At 43.5% G+C, this 17,692-nt stretch overlaps 1 protein-coding gene across 4 annotated transcripts in view, besides 1 other annotated feature; it reads right to left on the bottom strand.

Moving 5' to 3' along the window:
- Positions 1-17,692, bottom strand: part of RBFOX1 (RNA binding fox-1 homolog 1) — a 2,473,620-nt gene that overhangs the window by 1,902,339 nt on the left and 553,589 nt on the right. The window lies entirely within an intron of this gene.
- Positions 14,813-15,340: an enhancer, noted in NCBI's record as "NANOG-H3K27ac hESC enhancer chr16:5845663-5846190 (GRCh37/hg19 assembly coordinates)". NCBI's record gives its function as "activates a minimal SCP1, AML or CMV promoter by ChIP-STARR-seq in naive H9 embryonic stem cells {active_cell/tissue: H9 hESC(naive)}" and the evidence as "EXISTENCE:reporter gene assay evidence [ECO:0000049][PMID:30033119]".

The raw sequence follows: 17,692 nt of genomic DNA, 5'->3' as shown, positions 1-17,692 counted from the left end.
CCCATTGGAGTGATGGATATTTTCATTATCCTGACTGTGGTGATGGTTTCACAAGTATATGCAAAGCTCAATACTTACCCAATTTTACTCTTCATATGTGTGAAGTTTCCAGAATACCAATCATAACTTAATAATTTTTTTTTCTAAACAAGAGAACATTCCCAGTTGAGGCAATTTGAATTTTGTGATGATTTCCTTTTGCACACATACACGTAACTCAGAGGGGAGCTACCAAAGCAGGAGGCTCAGTAGTGAACAAGGAAGCTATGAGGTCTTAGTCCCAAATGGGATGGAAGTCTGGGTTTATTGTATGAAGACCCTACTCCTGAATTCTGATTGTGCAGATGGGGAAGTGGTACAGCTGTTTAGGAGTTCCACGGGCTGGGTCAACCCAGCAGGAGTGTCACTCAAATTACGGAGGTGATGATGTCACAGATATACCCAGCACCATGGGATAGAAGTGCAGGTATGTGTGCTGAGCTGAGCATCGCCTGTGTATTAGTTTGCTAGGGCTGCCATTACAAAGCACCAGGCTGGGTGCTTATGCAACAAAAATTAATTTTCCACAATTCTGGACTAAAAGTCCAAGATCAGGTGTCAGCAAGATTGGTTTATTCTGAGGCCTCTCTCCTTGGCTGTTGACACCACCTTATTCTTATATCTTTTTTTAATTATTATTATACTTTAAGTTTTAGGATACATGTGCACAATGTGCAGGTTAGTTACATATGTATACATGTGCCATTCTGGTGTGCTGCACCCATTAACTCAGCATTTAGCATTAGGTATATCTCCTAAAGCTATCCCTCCCTCCTCCCCCAACCCTATAACAGTCCCCAGAGTGTGATGTTCCCCTTCCTGTGTCCATGTGTTCTCACTGTTCAATTCCCACCTGTGAGTGAGAATATATGGTGTTTGGTTTTTTGTCCTTGCGATAGTTTACTGAGAATGATGATTTCCAATTTCATCCATGTCCCTACAAAGGACATGAACTCATCCTTTTTTATGGCTGCATAGTATTCCGTGGTGTATATGTGCCACATTTTCTTAATCCAGTCTATCATTGTTGGACATTTGGGTTGGTTCCAAGTCTTTGCTATTGTGGATAGTGCCGCAAAAAACATACGTGTGCATGTGTCTTTATAGCAGCGTGATTTATAGTCCTTTGGGTATATACCCAGTAATGGGATGGCTGGGTCAAATGGTATTTCTAGTTCTAGATCCCTGAGGAATCGCCACACTGACTTCCACAATGGTTGAACTAGTTTACTGTCCCACCAACAGTGTAAAAGTGTTCCTATTTCTCCACATCCTCTCCAGCACCTGTTGTTTCCTGACTTTTTAATGATTGCCATTCAAACTGGTGTGAGATGGTATCTCATCGTGGTTTTGATTTGCATTTCTCTGATGGCCCGTGATGGTGAGCATTTTTTCATGTGTTTTTTTGGCTGCATAAATGTCTTCTTTTGAGAAGTGTCTGTTCATGTCCTTCGTCCAGTTTTTGATGGGGTTGTTTGTTTTTTTCTTGTAAATTTGTTTGAGTTCATTTTAGATTCTGGATATTAGCCCTTTGTCAGATGAGTAGGTTGCGAAAATTTTCTCCCATTGTGTAGGCTGCCTGTTCACTCTGATAGCAGTTTCTTTTGCTGTCCAGAAGCTCTTTAGTTTAATTAGATCCCATTTGTCAATTTTGGCTTTTGTTGCCATTGCTTTTGGTGTTTTAGACTTGAAGTCCTTGCCTGTGCCTATGTCCTGAATGGTAATGCCTAGGTTTTCTTCTAGGGTTTTTATGGTTTTAGGTCTAATGTTTAAGTCTTGAATCCATCTTGAATTAATTTTTGTATAAGGTGTAAGGAAGGGATCCAGTTTCAGCTTTCTCCATGTGGCTAGCCAGTTTTCCCACCACCATTTATTAAGTAGGGAATCCTTTCCCCATTGCTTGTTTTTCTCAGGTTTGTCAAAGACCAGATAGTTGTAGATACGCAGCGTTAGGGTTTGAAAACTGGCACAAGACAGGGATGCCCTCTCTCACCACTCCTATTCAACATAGTGTTGGAAGTTGTGGCCACGGAAATTAGGCAGGAGAAGGAAACAAAGGGTATTTAATTAGGAAAACAGGGAGTCAAATTGTCCCTGTTTGCACATGACATGATTGTATATCTAGAAAACCCCATTGTCTCAGCCCAAAATCTCCTTAAGCTGATAATCAACTTCAGCAAAGTCTCAGGATACAAAATCAATGCACAAAAATCACAATCTTTCTTATACACCAATAACAGACAAACAGAGAGCCAAATCATGAGTGAACTCCCATTCACAATTGCTTCAAAGAGAATAAAATACCTAGGAATCCAACTTACAAGGGACGTAAAGGACCTCTTCAAGGAGAACTATAAACCACTGCTCAATGAAATAAAAGAGGATACAAACAAATGGAAGAACATTCCATGATCATGGGTAGGAAGAATCAATATCGTGAAAATGGCCATACTGCCCAAGGTAATTGATAGATTCAATGCCATCTCCATCAAGCTACCAATGACTTTCTTCACAGAATTGGAAAAAACTACTTTAAAGTTCATATGGAACCAAAAAAGAGCCCGCATCGCCAAGTCAATCCTAAGCCAAAAGAACATAGCTGGAGGCATCAAGCTACCTGACTTCAAACTATACTACAAGGGTACAGTAACCAAAACAGCATGGCACTGGTACCAATACAGAGATATAGATCAGTGGAACAGAACACAGCCCTCAGAAATATTCCTATGTCTTTTCTTGGTCTTCACTCTGTACATGCCTCTGTCCTAATGAGGCCATTAAGGCCCATCCTAACGGCCTCATTTTATCTTAATTACTTCTTTGGAATCCTATCTCCATACATAGTCACATTCTGATATACCAGGAGCTAGGACTTCAGCGTTTGAAATGGGACTGGGGACAAAATTCAGCCCACAAAACCCTCTTAGGATTCAGGCATAGAAGGAGTAAGCCTGATAGGTGTTCAGGAGACACAGCAAGAAGGAAGGAGGAAATTGAAAGAAATGGACTGAATAACCCCAGATACAAGGTTTATGGTGGTTCTGTCTGGGGTGGATGTGGTTCTGGAAAGTGTCCAGTTGTCCAGCTCCCTGCTCCTCAAAGTGTGGTCCAGACCAGCAGCGTGGGCATCACCTGGGAGCTGGTTAGGTACACAGACTCTCCAGCCCCATCCCAGGCCAAGTAAACAAGAGCCTGCATTGTAACAAGATTCCCAGCTCCTTCTTGAGTCTGTTAAAGTTTGTGATGCACCGATGTAGACTTCAACCTTCCACACTCCCTCTCTCTCAGAAGCCAGGACTTCCAGAATCCAGAATTGATCCCTGTTCTAAAAGCCCCCTCCCTGACTACATTCATCCCTATTTATACACTTGTGTGGTTACCTATGCAATTAAGTTATAACGAGGCTATAATGAGCCCTATTAGCAAACTGGTTTGCATCCAATTGATTTCCTGGTTGTGCAAAAGTGCTCAGTAATGACCCATTTTAATAGTAACCAAAATTAGCTCAGGAACCCAGCTCCACCTTTTGCAGCAGTCAGACAGCAGCTTTCTGAGATGACCTGGCAGGGACCCAGCTCACAGGGAGTCCTGGCCCTGTGGCATCCTGAAGATGCCACAAGATTGTGAAGGAAATACTAAGAGAGGTGCTCAGGTGGTTGGAGCCTCAAACTGAGGATACAAGAAGATGCAATTCATATCCACAGCCCCCGTGAAGGGAGAGGAGGGATGGCCACAACTATCTTACTGCCCAGGACAATAGGGAGGTAGGTTCCATCATGGTGGAAAAAGAAGGCTCTGAGAGGTTAAGTAATTGTGTTGTCACTGTCCAGCACAAATAAACAAAGGAGTCAGTATTTACCTAGACATTTCACACCAAAGCCTGAATGCCTCATCTTCCCACTGGGCCAGGCTCAGCCATCACTGGTGCCTGCTGGAGGAGGTGTCGGGGGGTAGCTCTAGCTTCTCCCCCAGGCCATGGCAAGACATTTTTCTAACTATTCCTTCTCTTCCTGGAGATCCTGCTCCTCCAGTGGGGAAAGGCTGGCTGCTTCGGTAAGTGGCTCTGAGAGGTTTAGAAAGAGCATTTGGGAACATCAGTGGGCCAAGGAATAAGAAGAGCCCCTGACGACGTGAAGGCTTTCAGAGGGCTGAGCTGGGCTGACAGCATCAGTGATCCTGCAGTCACCTCTGTGCTAATTAGGGAAGCTTATCCCGGGGCATTACCAGGTTTGTTTAGCTTTCAGCTCTTGTCTTTCCCACTGATGACAGTCCCTGGCAAAGACCTGATTCCTTAATGAACTTCCAATAGCTGGTTTCACTGTCTTGGGCTTGATTTTTCACCCTTGAACAGCAAAGCAGACTTGCAACTTGTTCACCTCTGCTAAGGTTGGAACTCTGGTGCTCCCTCCAAAATTCCTGTTGAAAGTTCATCCTCATTATGTTGGTATTAAGAGGTAAGGGCCTTTGGCAAGCACAGCCCTCATGAATAGATTGATCCCTTGTAACAGGGCTGGAGGCAACTAGCTTTGGCTCCCTTTCTGGCTCTTCTCCATTTCCATCATGTGAGTACATAGCATTTGTCCCTGTTACCCTTTTTGGCCCCATCCACCATGTGGGGATGCAGGAGGAAGGCCCTCACCAGACGCCAAATGCCAACACCTTGATCTTGGACTTCCCAGCCTCCAGAACTGTGAGAAAATAAATTGTCATTCTTAATAATTCACTCAGTCTCATCATTTTGTTATAACTGCACAAATGGATAGAGAAAACCTCCCTCCAGTGGCTGGTGAAGAAAGACAGAAAATGAGAGAACTGAATTGTAGGTAACAGGGAAGGCAGGTCTGCTAGTAAAGACATGAGAGGCCCTCCCATTTTTTTAAGCCTCAGGGACAAACTGGAATAATAATGCCAGCTGTTTCCTCACTCCCAATGGGAATGTGAGCTCCTGATACCCATGTTCATTACCATTTATTGACTCACTGAGAGATCAACACTGTGCTAGGATCTATGCAGGACAGATTTCTCCATTTGTCCCCCCAGATCCACTCTCTGTCCTTATCCACTCTATTCTGTGCCCTGAAACCATATTGATGGATCCCCTTCCCTACTGAGTTTGGCCAAAGGAAAACATTACAGGGTAGCAGAAGGTGGGAGGAGAGAGATATGGGAGTCTTCATCCTCTTGACTTCCTCTCTGCTAGAATATGGGTTGGTTATGACTTGACTCATTACTGAAAGCCACATTCATGTCAGGCAACCCTTCCTATAGCCCTCTGAGTTCTGCTAATTTATCCTTCCCCCTGGAACCCTAGGGGTGGTAACAGCTCTCCACAGTTGCTAGCCCCAGGGTGCTGCATCTTATCTGTTTCCTTTAACCTTTTGATAAACAATTCCTTTGTTCAACTCTTCTCAATTATCCCATCAATACATGTCTTCTGTTTCTGGCAGGGCCACCAACCCACATAGAAGCTTACATTTTGGATCTCCAACCCTGAAATACAATTCTAAAGAATAGGCATTAACAGCTTCATATTAAAGATGAGGGAATTGAGGATCAGAATTCACATTTGCATAAATAGCCCAAGGCTCTAAACTAGTTAATAGAATTTTGAACTTATGGATGCTAATTTATATTTGTGACACACGAGTTGGTAAATCAGTGCTTATGGAATGAGTAAATAAATAAATGAATGAACCCATCCTGTCTGACCCTCTCTAACCTCATATTTTAATCCAGGCTCTATTCCAGGGCTGAACACAGTGTTTCATTTACTGTTCACATGAATCACTGCATAGTGCCATCCATAACCCAGCCCAGGTCTCCTCAAAGACCTGTGACCAAACTGCCCCCTTCCCAGCTTTTAGCCCAAATCCACACTAGATCACCTTCTTTTGATTCAAACAACTCAATGCTCCCCAAACTGTATTTTTCCACCCCAGAGCCTCCAAGTCACAGCAGCCCTTTGCACTTCATCTACAAAATTTTCCAATATACTGCAGTTTTAGTGGGACTATTAAAAACCTGTCAGAGAAATGCTGGTAGTGGCAAAAACATTTCTCAAGAGCCGTCAATTCCCCACATATCCATCAGAGCTGCCCTGCACAACAAGGAGGGCCTCATTTAGAATGTGTCAATTCTGATTATTAATGTGGGGAAAACACCTGCTAAGTATATTTGTCTGGGAGGTGAGCGTGGTAGGACTCAAGGCCAGGCAGCAGCCACTGCTGCAGAGAAAATCCTGGTGTCCAGGACCAACTTGCTGAAAGGCCACCGTAATTAATTAGGACCAGGCTTTCACAATGGGCAGAAGAGGGGAAGGGAGGATGCAGCAGGGTGGAGAGCAGTCATGCAGCACACAGAGGGCAGGTCCCCTTCACCTCCCACCATCTGGGTGGAATGCAACTCATACCTGGAATTCACAGCACTCAACGTTTCATTTGTCCTCAGATTTATCAGTTTAGGAAATACCCCAGGGACTCCCTACAAAGCCATCCTCAAAGTTCAAACCTTATCAATGAACAGGATACCTTGTTTTCTTTTGATATTTCACTAACGTCCTTCTGGATTACAGACAAAAACTCTGTCACTACCACCAATAAACTAAGTTTATGTATTCACTTGTGTATTCATTCATTTGTTCATCCATCCATCCATTCATCTATTCATTCACATATGAATGTATGAATCTCACCCCCATCTATCCACCTATCCAACAATTCATCCATTAATTCATGCATTTATTTCCTCACCTCACTAACATTTACTGAACAATTACACAGTTTCAAGCAATATGCTTCTCTTGAAGGACACCAAAATGAATTGGACTGAGGCCCTTGACTTCCAAGGAACTGAAAAGCTTAGAGAGGGAGGCAGACATGTACTTGGGTAATCATTTGATCCTGGAAGAATAGATGCAATTGCAGACCATCTTTAATACTGTGGCAAGACTTCCCAGAGGAAATCTCTGAGCTGGGCTTGGAAGGGTAAGTAGGAGTTTGACAAGTAGGGAAGGGCATGAATTGGGATGGACAAGACAATTCCAGGCAGAGAGAGCAGTATATGCAAAGGTGTGGAAGTCTGATTACTGGTGCGCATTATCAGACAGGAGGCAGAAGACCAGGAGAGGAAAGAAGCAACATTTCTGCAATCCCAGACCTTTAACTGAAGCAACATAATCATAGTAGAGCATGAGATAATAGAAAGGGGATCAAGAAGGTAGATAATGCATCCTATTCACTCTGATATACCCACTCTGTGCCTAGTATGGTACCTTAAATACAGCAGATGCTCAATATTCTCTTTGTAGAATTCTAGCACTTTATTAATTCATCCCTATTTCATCAAGTTCTTAATGAATGCCCAACAAAGTGTGCTTTGTGGAGTGAGAGAATGAATGACAGGCACCATACATATGCTTCACGGTCATGATTTCATTTTAATACTTACTGCAATCTCACAAAGAAAGTAGCACCGTTATTAAAAATGGATGAGGAAACAGAAGCTGGGCCATGTTAAATAACCTGCTAAAGATCCCGGATCTGGTCAGTGTGGGAACTGGGATCAGAATCCACAAGTTTTGTTTTTCCAAAGCACCTGTTATCTCTCTACCACTCTTCCAATATCCCTCCCAAAGCCAGTACAAAGAGGACCATAAAATAGTACAAAGGAACTCTTAGAGCCTGTGTTTGTCAGAGACGAACCAAGCTCAGGCCAAAAGGATGGGCCTGATGCTGACATACTCACGGGGTACTGAGGTATGGAAAACAAAGGGCTATGAGGTAAGGTTTTATTTTGCTGTTGTTTCTTGGATGGGGGGAGGGATACAGCGGATGGAGAGACCCTCTGACTATAGTCCCATCCAACCCATTCCTGCCATTGTCTGGGTGCTAAAGATGGTCTGCAACTGCATCCATTCTTCCAGGATCAAATTATTACCCAAGTACATGTCTGTCTCCTTCTCTAAACTATGAATTCTCAGAACTCAAGGGGCTGTGTCCATACATCCTGGTAAAGTTCAAGACAAGCATATTGCCTGAAATGGAGTAAATGCTCAGTAAATGTCAGTGAGGTGAGGAAATAACTGTATGATTAATGAATGAATGGTTGGATAGGTGGACAGATGGGGGCGAGATTCATACATTCATATGTGTATAGATGGATGAACAAATGAACCAATATATAAGTGAATACATAAACTTAGTTTATTGGTGGCAGTGATGGAGTTTTTGTCTGTAATCCAGAAGGGCTTTAGTTAGTAAAATATCAGAACAAAACAAGCTATCGTGTTCTTCCCTATAAAGGGAAGAAATCTGCAGGGTCTAGCTCTAAGTTAGCATCTGCTTGCCACATGGATCCAGACATGCTCCTCTTCAAGAGAAAGATCTGAAAACTTTCTCCCCGTAGGTTAACAAGCAGTTCCACCTCTGAGCATTCCCTCTGAGAGTCTGTGATGGCAGAGGATGGGATGAGGGAAGGGCCAAGAATCACTTTAAGCTTTCCAGGGCCCCTGAGCCTGTAGATCTCAGAATACAAGGGACCTCAGCAGCTATCCCACCCTTGTTTGCATGTTTTACAGTCCAGCCATCCTTTGGGAAGACTCACACGCATCTTGGCTTCCAGGTCACAGGAGGCAAAGTTGGTTCCCTGGCTGCAAGTGGAAACACCCCTTTTGTATCTAAAGGGGGAGAAGAGGAAGAAAAGGACTTTCCAAACGAACAGCTTCAATCTGAGGAATTATTTCAGGCTTCCTTTTGATGGGGAGCTTAAAGCGCAAAGTTTGGGCAGCAAATAAAATTGAGGGCATGGAGTAAGGGGAGTTAAACCTCACCAGGAACGTCTTAAGGAGCTTATACACTACTCCAGAGAACAGCTTATTACACGTCTGCTTCCAAGGAACCTGCGAATCAGATTTAATCTATAAAGAGGCCCCGTCAAGGTCTCCTCTTCCTCCAGCGAATGCAGCCTCCAGCAGACCCAGGCAGAGTGATGGCCCCAGCAGAAAAGCACACACGTCCAACCCTCCGGGGGAGAGGGGAATTCGCTTTCCTTTATGCTCCATTTCCTCACCTAATATAGAGCTGCCCTGCATACACAACTTCCATAACCAGCAAAACTGAACATTCTGATTTTTAATGATGCTAGGCGATAATTTTGGCACCCGGTTCACTCTCTGTGCCTGTCAGCATAGGAATAAAACAAACAAACAACACAAAAAACCTATGTTGTTGGATAAACCCACCAGATGGTTCATCTCTATCAAAGGCACATTGTGCCTGCCATTACATCTTGCTCTTTGTAAATCTCAACTCTTTAGCAACCACGGATCACATTGGTATTTTTTTGTGTGTGCCTAGTTAGCCTTTCAACCTCATTCCCCAAAGTAACCAAACCCCACTCATCCCCGCGTGCATGCACCCCAGCTCCCGCGCCTGTGTCGAGACACATATGTCTCTGCTTTTCAAGTAACTGCCCGATGACTGCTAAGTATATTACTGCCTCAAAAATTAACTCGCACACTGAGAATAATCACAGAAAAGAAATTTGTTTTCCTACAAGGTTGTTTTCCAGCTGTTTTAATGCAGACAATTTTACCCCGAAACTCAAATTGAAAAAAAAAAAAAAGAGAGAGGGAGGGAGAGAGAGGCAGATAGAGACTTTAAAATCTGCATAATTTGAAAGTGCTTAATGTAAATTAGATAGATCAGCCTAATTTTATTTCAGTACTTTTTAATTGCATTTATAATTAGTAAAATACATTAATGTGCTACATAGAAGGTCAGGAGTTCTGGTAAAGGGATCTAATTAAAATGGCCCACTGCATTTCTGTCACACATGCGCCCAGGAACTTCCAGCTCCACTTCCGTACACACTCTGGGCGGGGCCTATTTTTAACTCAACTGTGTCTTCATCAAAAGTGGCAATCCTGTGATCAGAGGGCTCCTGGGGTAGAAGATCCCACTCTCTGTCTTGCTCTTGCACTTAAGCCTGCCTCTTGGAGCCTCCCATGGGTCTGTATCAGGGACAAGAAGGCAGATTCCATCTGTCCTCATGTGGCAGGGAAGTTTTAAACTATTAACTCATTTTTGCCCTAGGACCGCCTCCCGTGCCCTCCCAGCCATTCAAACAGAGAGGCTTGTCTGTGATTTGCCCCAGAAAAGGGATCCAATGGCACTAGGACGTCTTCCTTGCTTAGGTTTCCGAGCGGCCCTGTTAGCTATCTGAGAAGCAACTGAGGACAGAAATTCCTCTCTGTAATAATGACTGCAGGGACAACACTTTATTCCTCCTCCAATTTATCCCCAGTGTCACCGTGAAACTAGGTAATAGGCCACTAAAAGTGTCCCTGAGTCACTGGGTCACATCCATTTCACCATCCCGTGTCCTCCAATTCCACACATCCTTGGTCATCTGTCCCAGCCAACTCTCCCTTATTTGTGCTGGAGAGCCCTTGCCATTGCCCAGCAGAGGAGTCTCCGTCTACTCACACCCTGGCCTAAGCTCAAGGGCGTGCTGGGGGTGCAGAGCCTGTTCACAACCTGCCCCTCCCTTCACCCATGTCCATCAAGTCCTGGTCACAGGATGTCCCACCCTGGTTTGCTCTTGACTTCCTTTTGCCTTGTTAATGTCACATCATAATGTGCATGGTTATGCATGAGTAACGAAATGGACTATGGGGTCCAGTCTCCTCTGCTAATCCAAAATTAGGCTACACACCATTGGACTGGACATGCCAGAGCATCACCTGTGGCCCTTGGGTGTATACTTCCCCTTCCCTTACCCTTAGCATATTTCCTACTTTTTCTGGAACAGTCTGGCTTGTTCTACAGTTTTCTGTACCTACTTCTCCCTATATACATATTTCTCTCCCCTCCATCTATAAGTAGGACATGTATATGTATATACTTATACATATATATATAAAAAATAGGGAAATATACACTTAATAGGAGAAATGGAACATGCAAATATATCTTGGGAGACATGCATATTCATTTTCTGAGGACAGACAGATATATATTTAGTATATGAAACAGAACACCCATATATAGCAACATTCTCCCACTTATTTTTTTTAAATTAATTTTAAAAAATCAAACATACCACACTATATTCTGGGAACTAACATTTGTTGAATAGGTAGAGGCACCCAACTTTGTACAAAGAGCTATTCAGAAGCTCCTCAATTTACAATGGGGTAACATCCCAAAAAACCCCTTGTATGTTGAAAATATTGTTAAGTCAAAAATGGATTCAATATGCCTCACCAACCGAACATCACAGCTTGGCCCAGCCTACCTTGAACACACTCAGAACACATGAGCCTACAGTTGGACAAAAATCACCTAACACAAAGCCTATTTTATAATAACATGTTGAATATCTCCTGTAACCAACTGGATACTGTACTGAAAGTGAAAAAAACAGAATGGTTGTGTAGGTACTCAAAGTACAGTTTCTACTGAATGTATGTTGCTTCCATATCATTATATAGTTGAAAAATTATAACTCAAACCATCATAATTCGGGGACCATACATCTGTATATTGTTCGACTTTTTTCAGTCATCTTCTCCACAGACCAATGAGGTTGCTTTTACAAACCTCCCTTGATATGGTTTGGCTATGTCCCCACCCAAATCTCATCTTACTTGTAGCTCCCATAATTCCCATGTGTTGTGGGAGGAACCCAGTGGGAGATAAATGAGTCATGGGGGCAGTTTCCCCCATACTGTACTTATGGTAATGAATAAGTCTCACGAGATCTGATGGTTTTATAAGGGGTTTCCCTTTCTGCTTGGATTTCATTATCTCTTGTCTGCTGCCATGTAAGATGTGCCTTTCACCTGCCACCATGATTGTGAGGCCTCCCCAGCCATGTGCAACTGTGAGTCCATGAAAACTCTTTTTCTTTACAAATTACCCAGTCTCAGGTATGTCTTCATTAGCAGCATGAAAACAGACTAATAAGCCCTTTTGCAGAGGAAGGATCTGAGTTTCAGAGTGGCTCACCCGAGATCTTGCAGGAGTCAAGTGGCAGAACTGGAGCTGAATTGGGCCTGTCTGACGCAGGCAGCAAGTAGTCCGTACCTCTGAGCTACACCCAAGCTGACGCTGGAGGGGTTTATGTAGTGCCCATAAAAGGCAAGCACCTGGGAGGAACCTCACAGCTCAGACCCCTGGTTCATAATTTTTGACTCTGGCATGACTTAATTAAGATTTTCCTTCTGCCACAACGAACAAAGTGGAACGAGTAGCAAATGTTTTAAAAAGTAAACAGAAGGTCCCTTCTCATAAGTCCCATTTGACACACATATATTTCATGGAGACAGGCATATAGGTGAGTGATCCAGACCACAAGACCCAACGTCCAGTTCCTGTTGCCCTAACAATCATTTAGCGCAGATGCCCTCTGCCCTGTAATACCCAACTGTTTAAAGTTCTACCACTTGCCAGGTTGTTTCAAGTCTGCATGTCCTTTCCTATCCTGAGCCATCTACCTGGAAGTCCCATATCCTCCCAGTCCACCTGGGAAATAAACCCTTTCATCCTTTAGAACAAAGCTCAAACATCTTCTCAACAAAGCCTTTTCTGACCCTAACTAATATTTGCCAAGCACACAATAGGGAGAAATCGACACTGCTTGGAAGATCAGCTGTATCGTAATGTGTTGTTTGAATTATGTGAGGCCAAAAATGGGTCTCATTTAGAATATTACTAATGACAATAATACTCATAAAAACATCTATGTGCTATGTCCAATCACTTTTTACACATATCATTTCCATGACTTCTTACAATTAGTCATTTTTATCCCTGTTAGTCATTTTTATCCCTGGCTTTCAAATGAGGAAATGGAAATTCAGAAAGGTTAAGTAACATGCCCAAAGACACATAGCTATTAAGTACAGAAACCAATATTCAAACTCAGGCTGTCTGCTTTATATATTCCCAGGGCTTCGCACACAGTAGGTGCATACAAATACTGTTTGAAAGAATAAATGATGCATATTTACTGAGCATCTCTTCTATGGTGTCCCATCCAATTAACCTCAAGCAGATGGAGTGCGGACATCCTTCCAGAGCCTGTCCTGCTTGTTCTAAGGCCTCATGACTTACCTATAAGTCAATATTTCATTATGAGCCCATCACTCAGGTCAGTGTAATAATTAATCACTATCTGCTGTGTGGCTGCTTATCGTATTTTAGCTTAATTCCAATAAAATCTAAATGGTCTATTAATTTTCCTAATAAATTTAGATATGGCCTCTGACCACAATCTGGCTTTGATTAGCTAACAAAATATTTGAAGATGGGCCAAGCTGGCTCTTTCAAATATTTCAAGCAAATAACACTTAACTGGATGTAGGATTGTCTGCATCAGCTTAGGGCTGGGCTCAGAAGTGAATAAAATAAGGGTCAACTTCATAATTGGTCCCCAGCTACTCAGAGCTGAGTCACTCTGGGGAGCCATCTGTCTAAGGGTCTGGAAGCCAGATACAGCCAAAACAACAAGGAAACACACCTTCAGTTACAGGAAGAGCAGAAAATCAAGTAGGGAGTGACTTCTCAGAAGCACCCAATGGAGATGTTCCAAGACGGTCCTTGAAGTGGAGGGTCCCAAGAAGTGGGTGTGGACACACACTTAGGCTAAAACTGCCTACCCCAAAGATGTCCTGAAAGTCTACACCATTGATGCAAATCCAGTCTATGTAGTTTACCTTCAAAGATCCAAAAGGTAAAGAATAGTGATAGGAAATCAGAACTTCCTCTATGGGCATCTAGCATGGCTGGTTCCTTTTATCCTTCAGGTCTCAGTGTCAATGTCACCACTGTAGAGTCCCTCCCTGACCTCCCTATACAAAGATGACCTCACCATCCCCATCTACCAGTCTTGATCACAAAATTCCATTTAATTTTCTTTATGGCACTTATTAGACTGTCATCTTTTGCAGTTATTTTATGTAATTTTCTGTAGTTCTCCTGCACAGGAATATAAACTCTAAAAGGCCAGAGACCTTCTGCAGTGCTTGGCACAAAGTAGATCCTCAATAAATATTGTCACATGAGTAAATAATCGATGAACAAACAATGAATTGATGAATGATGTGAGGGCCATATAGAGGTTAACCTGGAAACAAGGGGGAAATATATCAGAGTTAGAGAACACCACGTTTGGAAGCAAACAGAGCTGGGGTTGAATCTTAGCATTGTCTCCTTCTAGCTGGATGACCACAGGCAAATTACTTGTCCTCTCTGTGCCTCAGTGTCTTCATCCGTAAAATGGGGTAAGAGTATCAAATGGGCATTGACAAGTAAACAGTCAGCACCGTAAGTGGAGCCTAATTAGTGCTCATGAAAGGTCTGCTGCTATTGCTGTCACCATCATCATCATCATCAGGGTGTGGAGACACCATCTGATACAGCCCTGCTTCATCCCTGGGATCCAGCTCATTCCATCCCATCTTGGAAATGTCATCTATGATGCCACCACCACTCCTGTTCCTCTCTCTGACCCCATGTGATGCTTTTGAGGCCACTGATCATATCACAAACCCTGGATACTTGATCACTGTGGATATATTTGGTCCAGATCCTGGATTGAGCAACTCATTCCTGATTCCTTGCTCGTGGCCATAGCTTGGCAAAAACTGCCTCTTTCCCATAACATGTTTCCTTCTTCCATGCTCCAGATTTCACCCATGTGGGCCACATCCACTTCCTTCCAGATCCAGATCTGTGCATTTCAGAACCCAGCCTCAGAAGTGGGTGGATCCACTTGACATCAGGGTTTTACTATTCCTGAGCCCAGTCTTGAGCTGCTTATGACCTTCCAAAACAGCTCACCAAAATTCAACCATGCCTTCACAAAGTGACAGAAGTCCTCCCTTCCCCCAATCTACAAGCTGAAAATGCACTAGATTCAACTGCTATGGAAATCTACAATGCATTGCACAGCCCTATGCAAATGGGAAAACCCAACTGTACTGCCAAAGTCTTTGAAAAGGTGGGGACTATTGATGCAACTGGTGAGTGTTGTCGACCTATCTCCAGTAGAGCAAACAAAAGAACTAAGTCATTAGAAAATGCAACAGAGACTGTGAGGCTCTAATGGCTTTGCAAATCAGTGAAAAAAAGCAAATCCTTCCCCAATGAATGTAAACAGAAGGGGAGAATGGGATTGTTTATCTTCCAGGTCTAAAGTCAAAAGTTAGGAGGGATATATGAATGTATATAATGGGGGAAATGGATCTATTTAGGAGGCCAGAGAAGGCTTCTTGAAGAAATGATATTTGAGTTAGGATTTGGAAGAAGAGTGGTCAGGGGTAAGGAGGGGAAAGAATTCCAGGTCAAGGAAACAACATATTGAAGACCAGGCTAGGCACAGTGGTTCATGTCTGTAATCCTAGCACTTTGGGAGGCCAAGGCAGGAGGATTGTTTGAGCCCAGGAATTCACAACCATAGCAATACCCCATCTCCACAAAAAATTAAAAATTTAGCCACGCACGGTGGTAGGTGCCTGTGGTCCCACTACTCGGGAGGCTGAGGCAGGAGGATCACTTGAGCCCAGAAGATTGACACAGCAATGAGCCATGATCTCGCCACTGCACTCCAGCCAGGGTAACAGAGTAAGACCTTGTTTCAAGAAAAAAAAAAAGAAGAAGGAAGAAGTGGAAGACAATAAGGTGGAACAGATCTTGGTCCTTAACAGGAACCAAGTGTCACTGGGCATAGTAATAGGGAGAGGGGGGATATGAAACTGACGTAGAATCATTTCTTGACATTTATGGGTTAGGCCTTTCGTGAGGTGTTTCAGATCCATCGCTACTGATCTACAGAAACAATATAATAAGGTAGGTATTTCTTTTCCCATTCTCCACATGAGAAACTGAGATGGAATAATTTAAGCAGCTTGGCCAAAGTCATACAACTGGGGAGAAGAAAAGTTAGATTTTGAGCCAAGGCATGTTGGCTTGAATGTGACTCCTTCTCAAGACCCAGTGAGATGAGAGTGGGTGTGTGCCTGGGGAATTCCACAGACAGTGTGTAGACTGGGATCCCATGTGATGGGGTAGCTTCCATCTTGCCGAATGTCGCCATAGTAGGATTGCAGCCTCTTGGCGGCTAATACATAAGAGATGCCACTAGCCTCTGCCTAGATTTAATATTGGTTTAGCAGTCAGGAGTTAATTAAATGTTAATGTTCAGTCACTTGAAATTAAACATTAGGAACCTCAGCTTTATTTGTAAGTTTCTTAAGCCATCATTAAGGTGTTCTTCTTGGCTCCCCTCCTGCTGGGCCGCCCGACTCCTCCAGCTGCATCCCCCATCCACAGGCAAACTCATTTTGCTCACCACATGCCTTGACACACAACATCTGACCTGCCCGACAGCTATACCTCTCCAATGAGCAAATCTGAAAGGCTGCACACACCACACACACACACACACACGCACGCTGGCATTGAGTTTCACATAAGGTGAGTGTGCCTCTGGTATCACAGACATTTTGGTGTTTGTAATATTTTATAGATCACACAGTGCTTTCAGGTACATAATTGAATTTGGCCTCATAATGAGATGAAGGCAATGATGATAATAATGATGGAAGAGGACGAGGAATTAGTAAAGGATGAGGAAAAAAAGGAGGTGAAGGTGAAGATGGAAGGGAAGGTGAAGGAGGGAAACAAAGAGGAGGAAGAGAAGGAAAAAGAAAGGGGAAGAAGGACCATTTTGTAAGTGTTTTCTGTACGTTTCCATGCAATGCTCAGTATAACCCCATGACTTAGAGATTGTTACTGTGCTCACTTTACGGATAAAGAAAAAGCCCCAAGAGATTAAATCATATGCCCAACACCACAGATGTACTGGAATTAAATGTCAAGGTCGAGGCTCCAAATGCTCATTCCCTTAACCACAAATGACCACAGAAATGCAAAAAAGTGAAGTTCAGATCAGTTAAGAGGTTTGTCCAACACCTTGCAGTTTCATGATTTTACATATTAACTCTCCCAAAAAATGAAGCACAGAGAGCTTAAATGGCTCACCCAAGATCACACAGGTTTATAATGTGAGGATCAGGGAGAACGTGCTGGATTCCAGTCTCCCAGTACATTTGTGAGTATGTGCAAATGAACACTTGCACATGCACGCATGCAATGCACACTCACACACACATGCACATGCACATACACACATGCATGCATGCACACACACACACGAAGGCACATGTACATAGATCCAGGCTCCCTCCCAGCCTGGAAAGTCTCCCAATGGGGTGACCAGTCTGGGCCCTCCAGCATCCCCTGCAAGTACCGGGTTCCTCACTGCTTTGTGAGCACTGCTCTTGAGTAGTGGGTAAGATGAGGAGGTGAAGAGAGGGGCCTGGGGGCTGAAGAGGGAGGGACGCCCACCTCTTCTCAGGAAGGCAACATGGCTTGTGCCAACACCTCTGATTCAGGACTCTGGCCAGTGCCACATCAGCTTCCTGGACCTCTTAGCGGCATGAAGCCGGTCCCCCAGCACCCATGCCAACGGGCTGAATTGAAAATCAGGGTAAATCTTCACCAAGGGAGATTTCTAATCAAGGCTCAGGTTTGCATTTCCTTTTCAATGGCATGTTGACAAAACAAGAAAAGACAGAAACAAACACGGT

The sequence above is a fragment of the Homo sapiens genome, chromosome 16, assembly GCF_000001405.40.
Source record: "Homo sapiens chromosome 16, GRCh38.p14 Primary Assembly".
NCBI lineage: Eukaryota > Metazoa > Chordata > Mammalia > Primates > Hominidae > Homo > Homo sapiens.
Note: the sequence above shows the minus strand (reverse complement) of the source record. Positions and strands in the feature narration are given on the sequence as shown.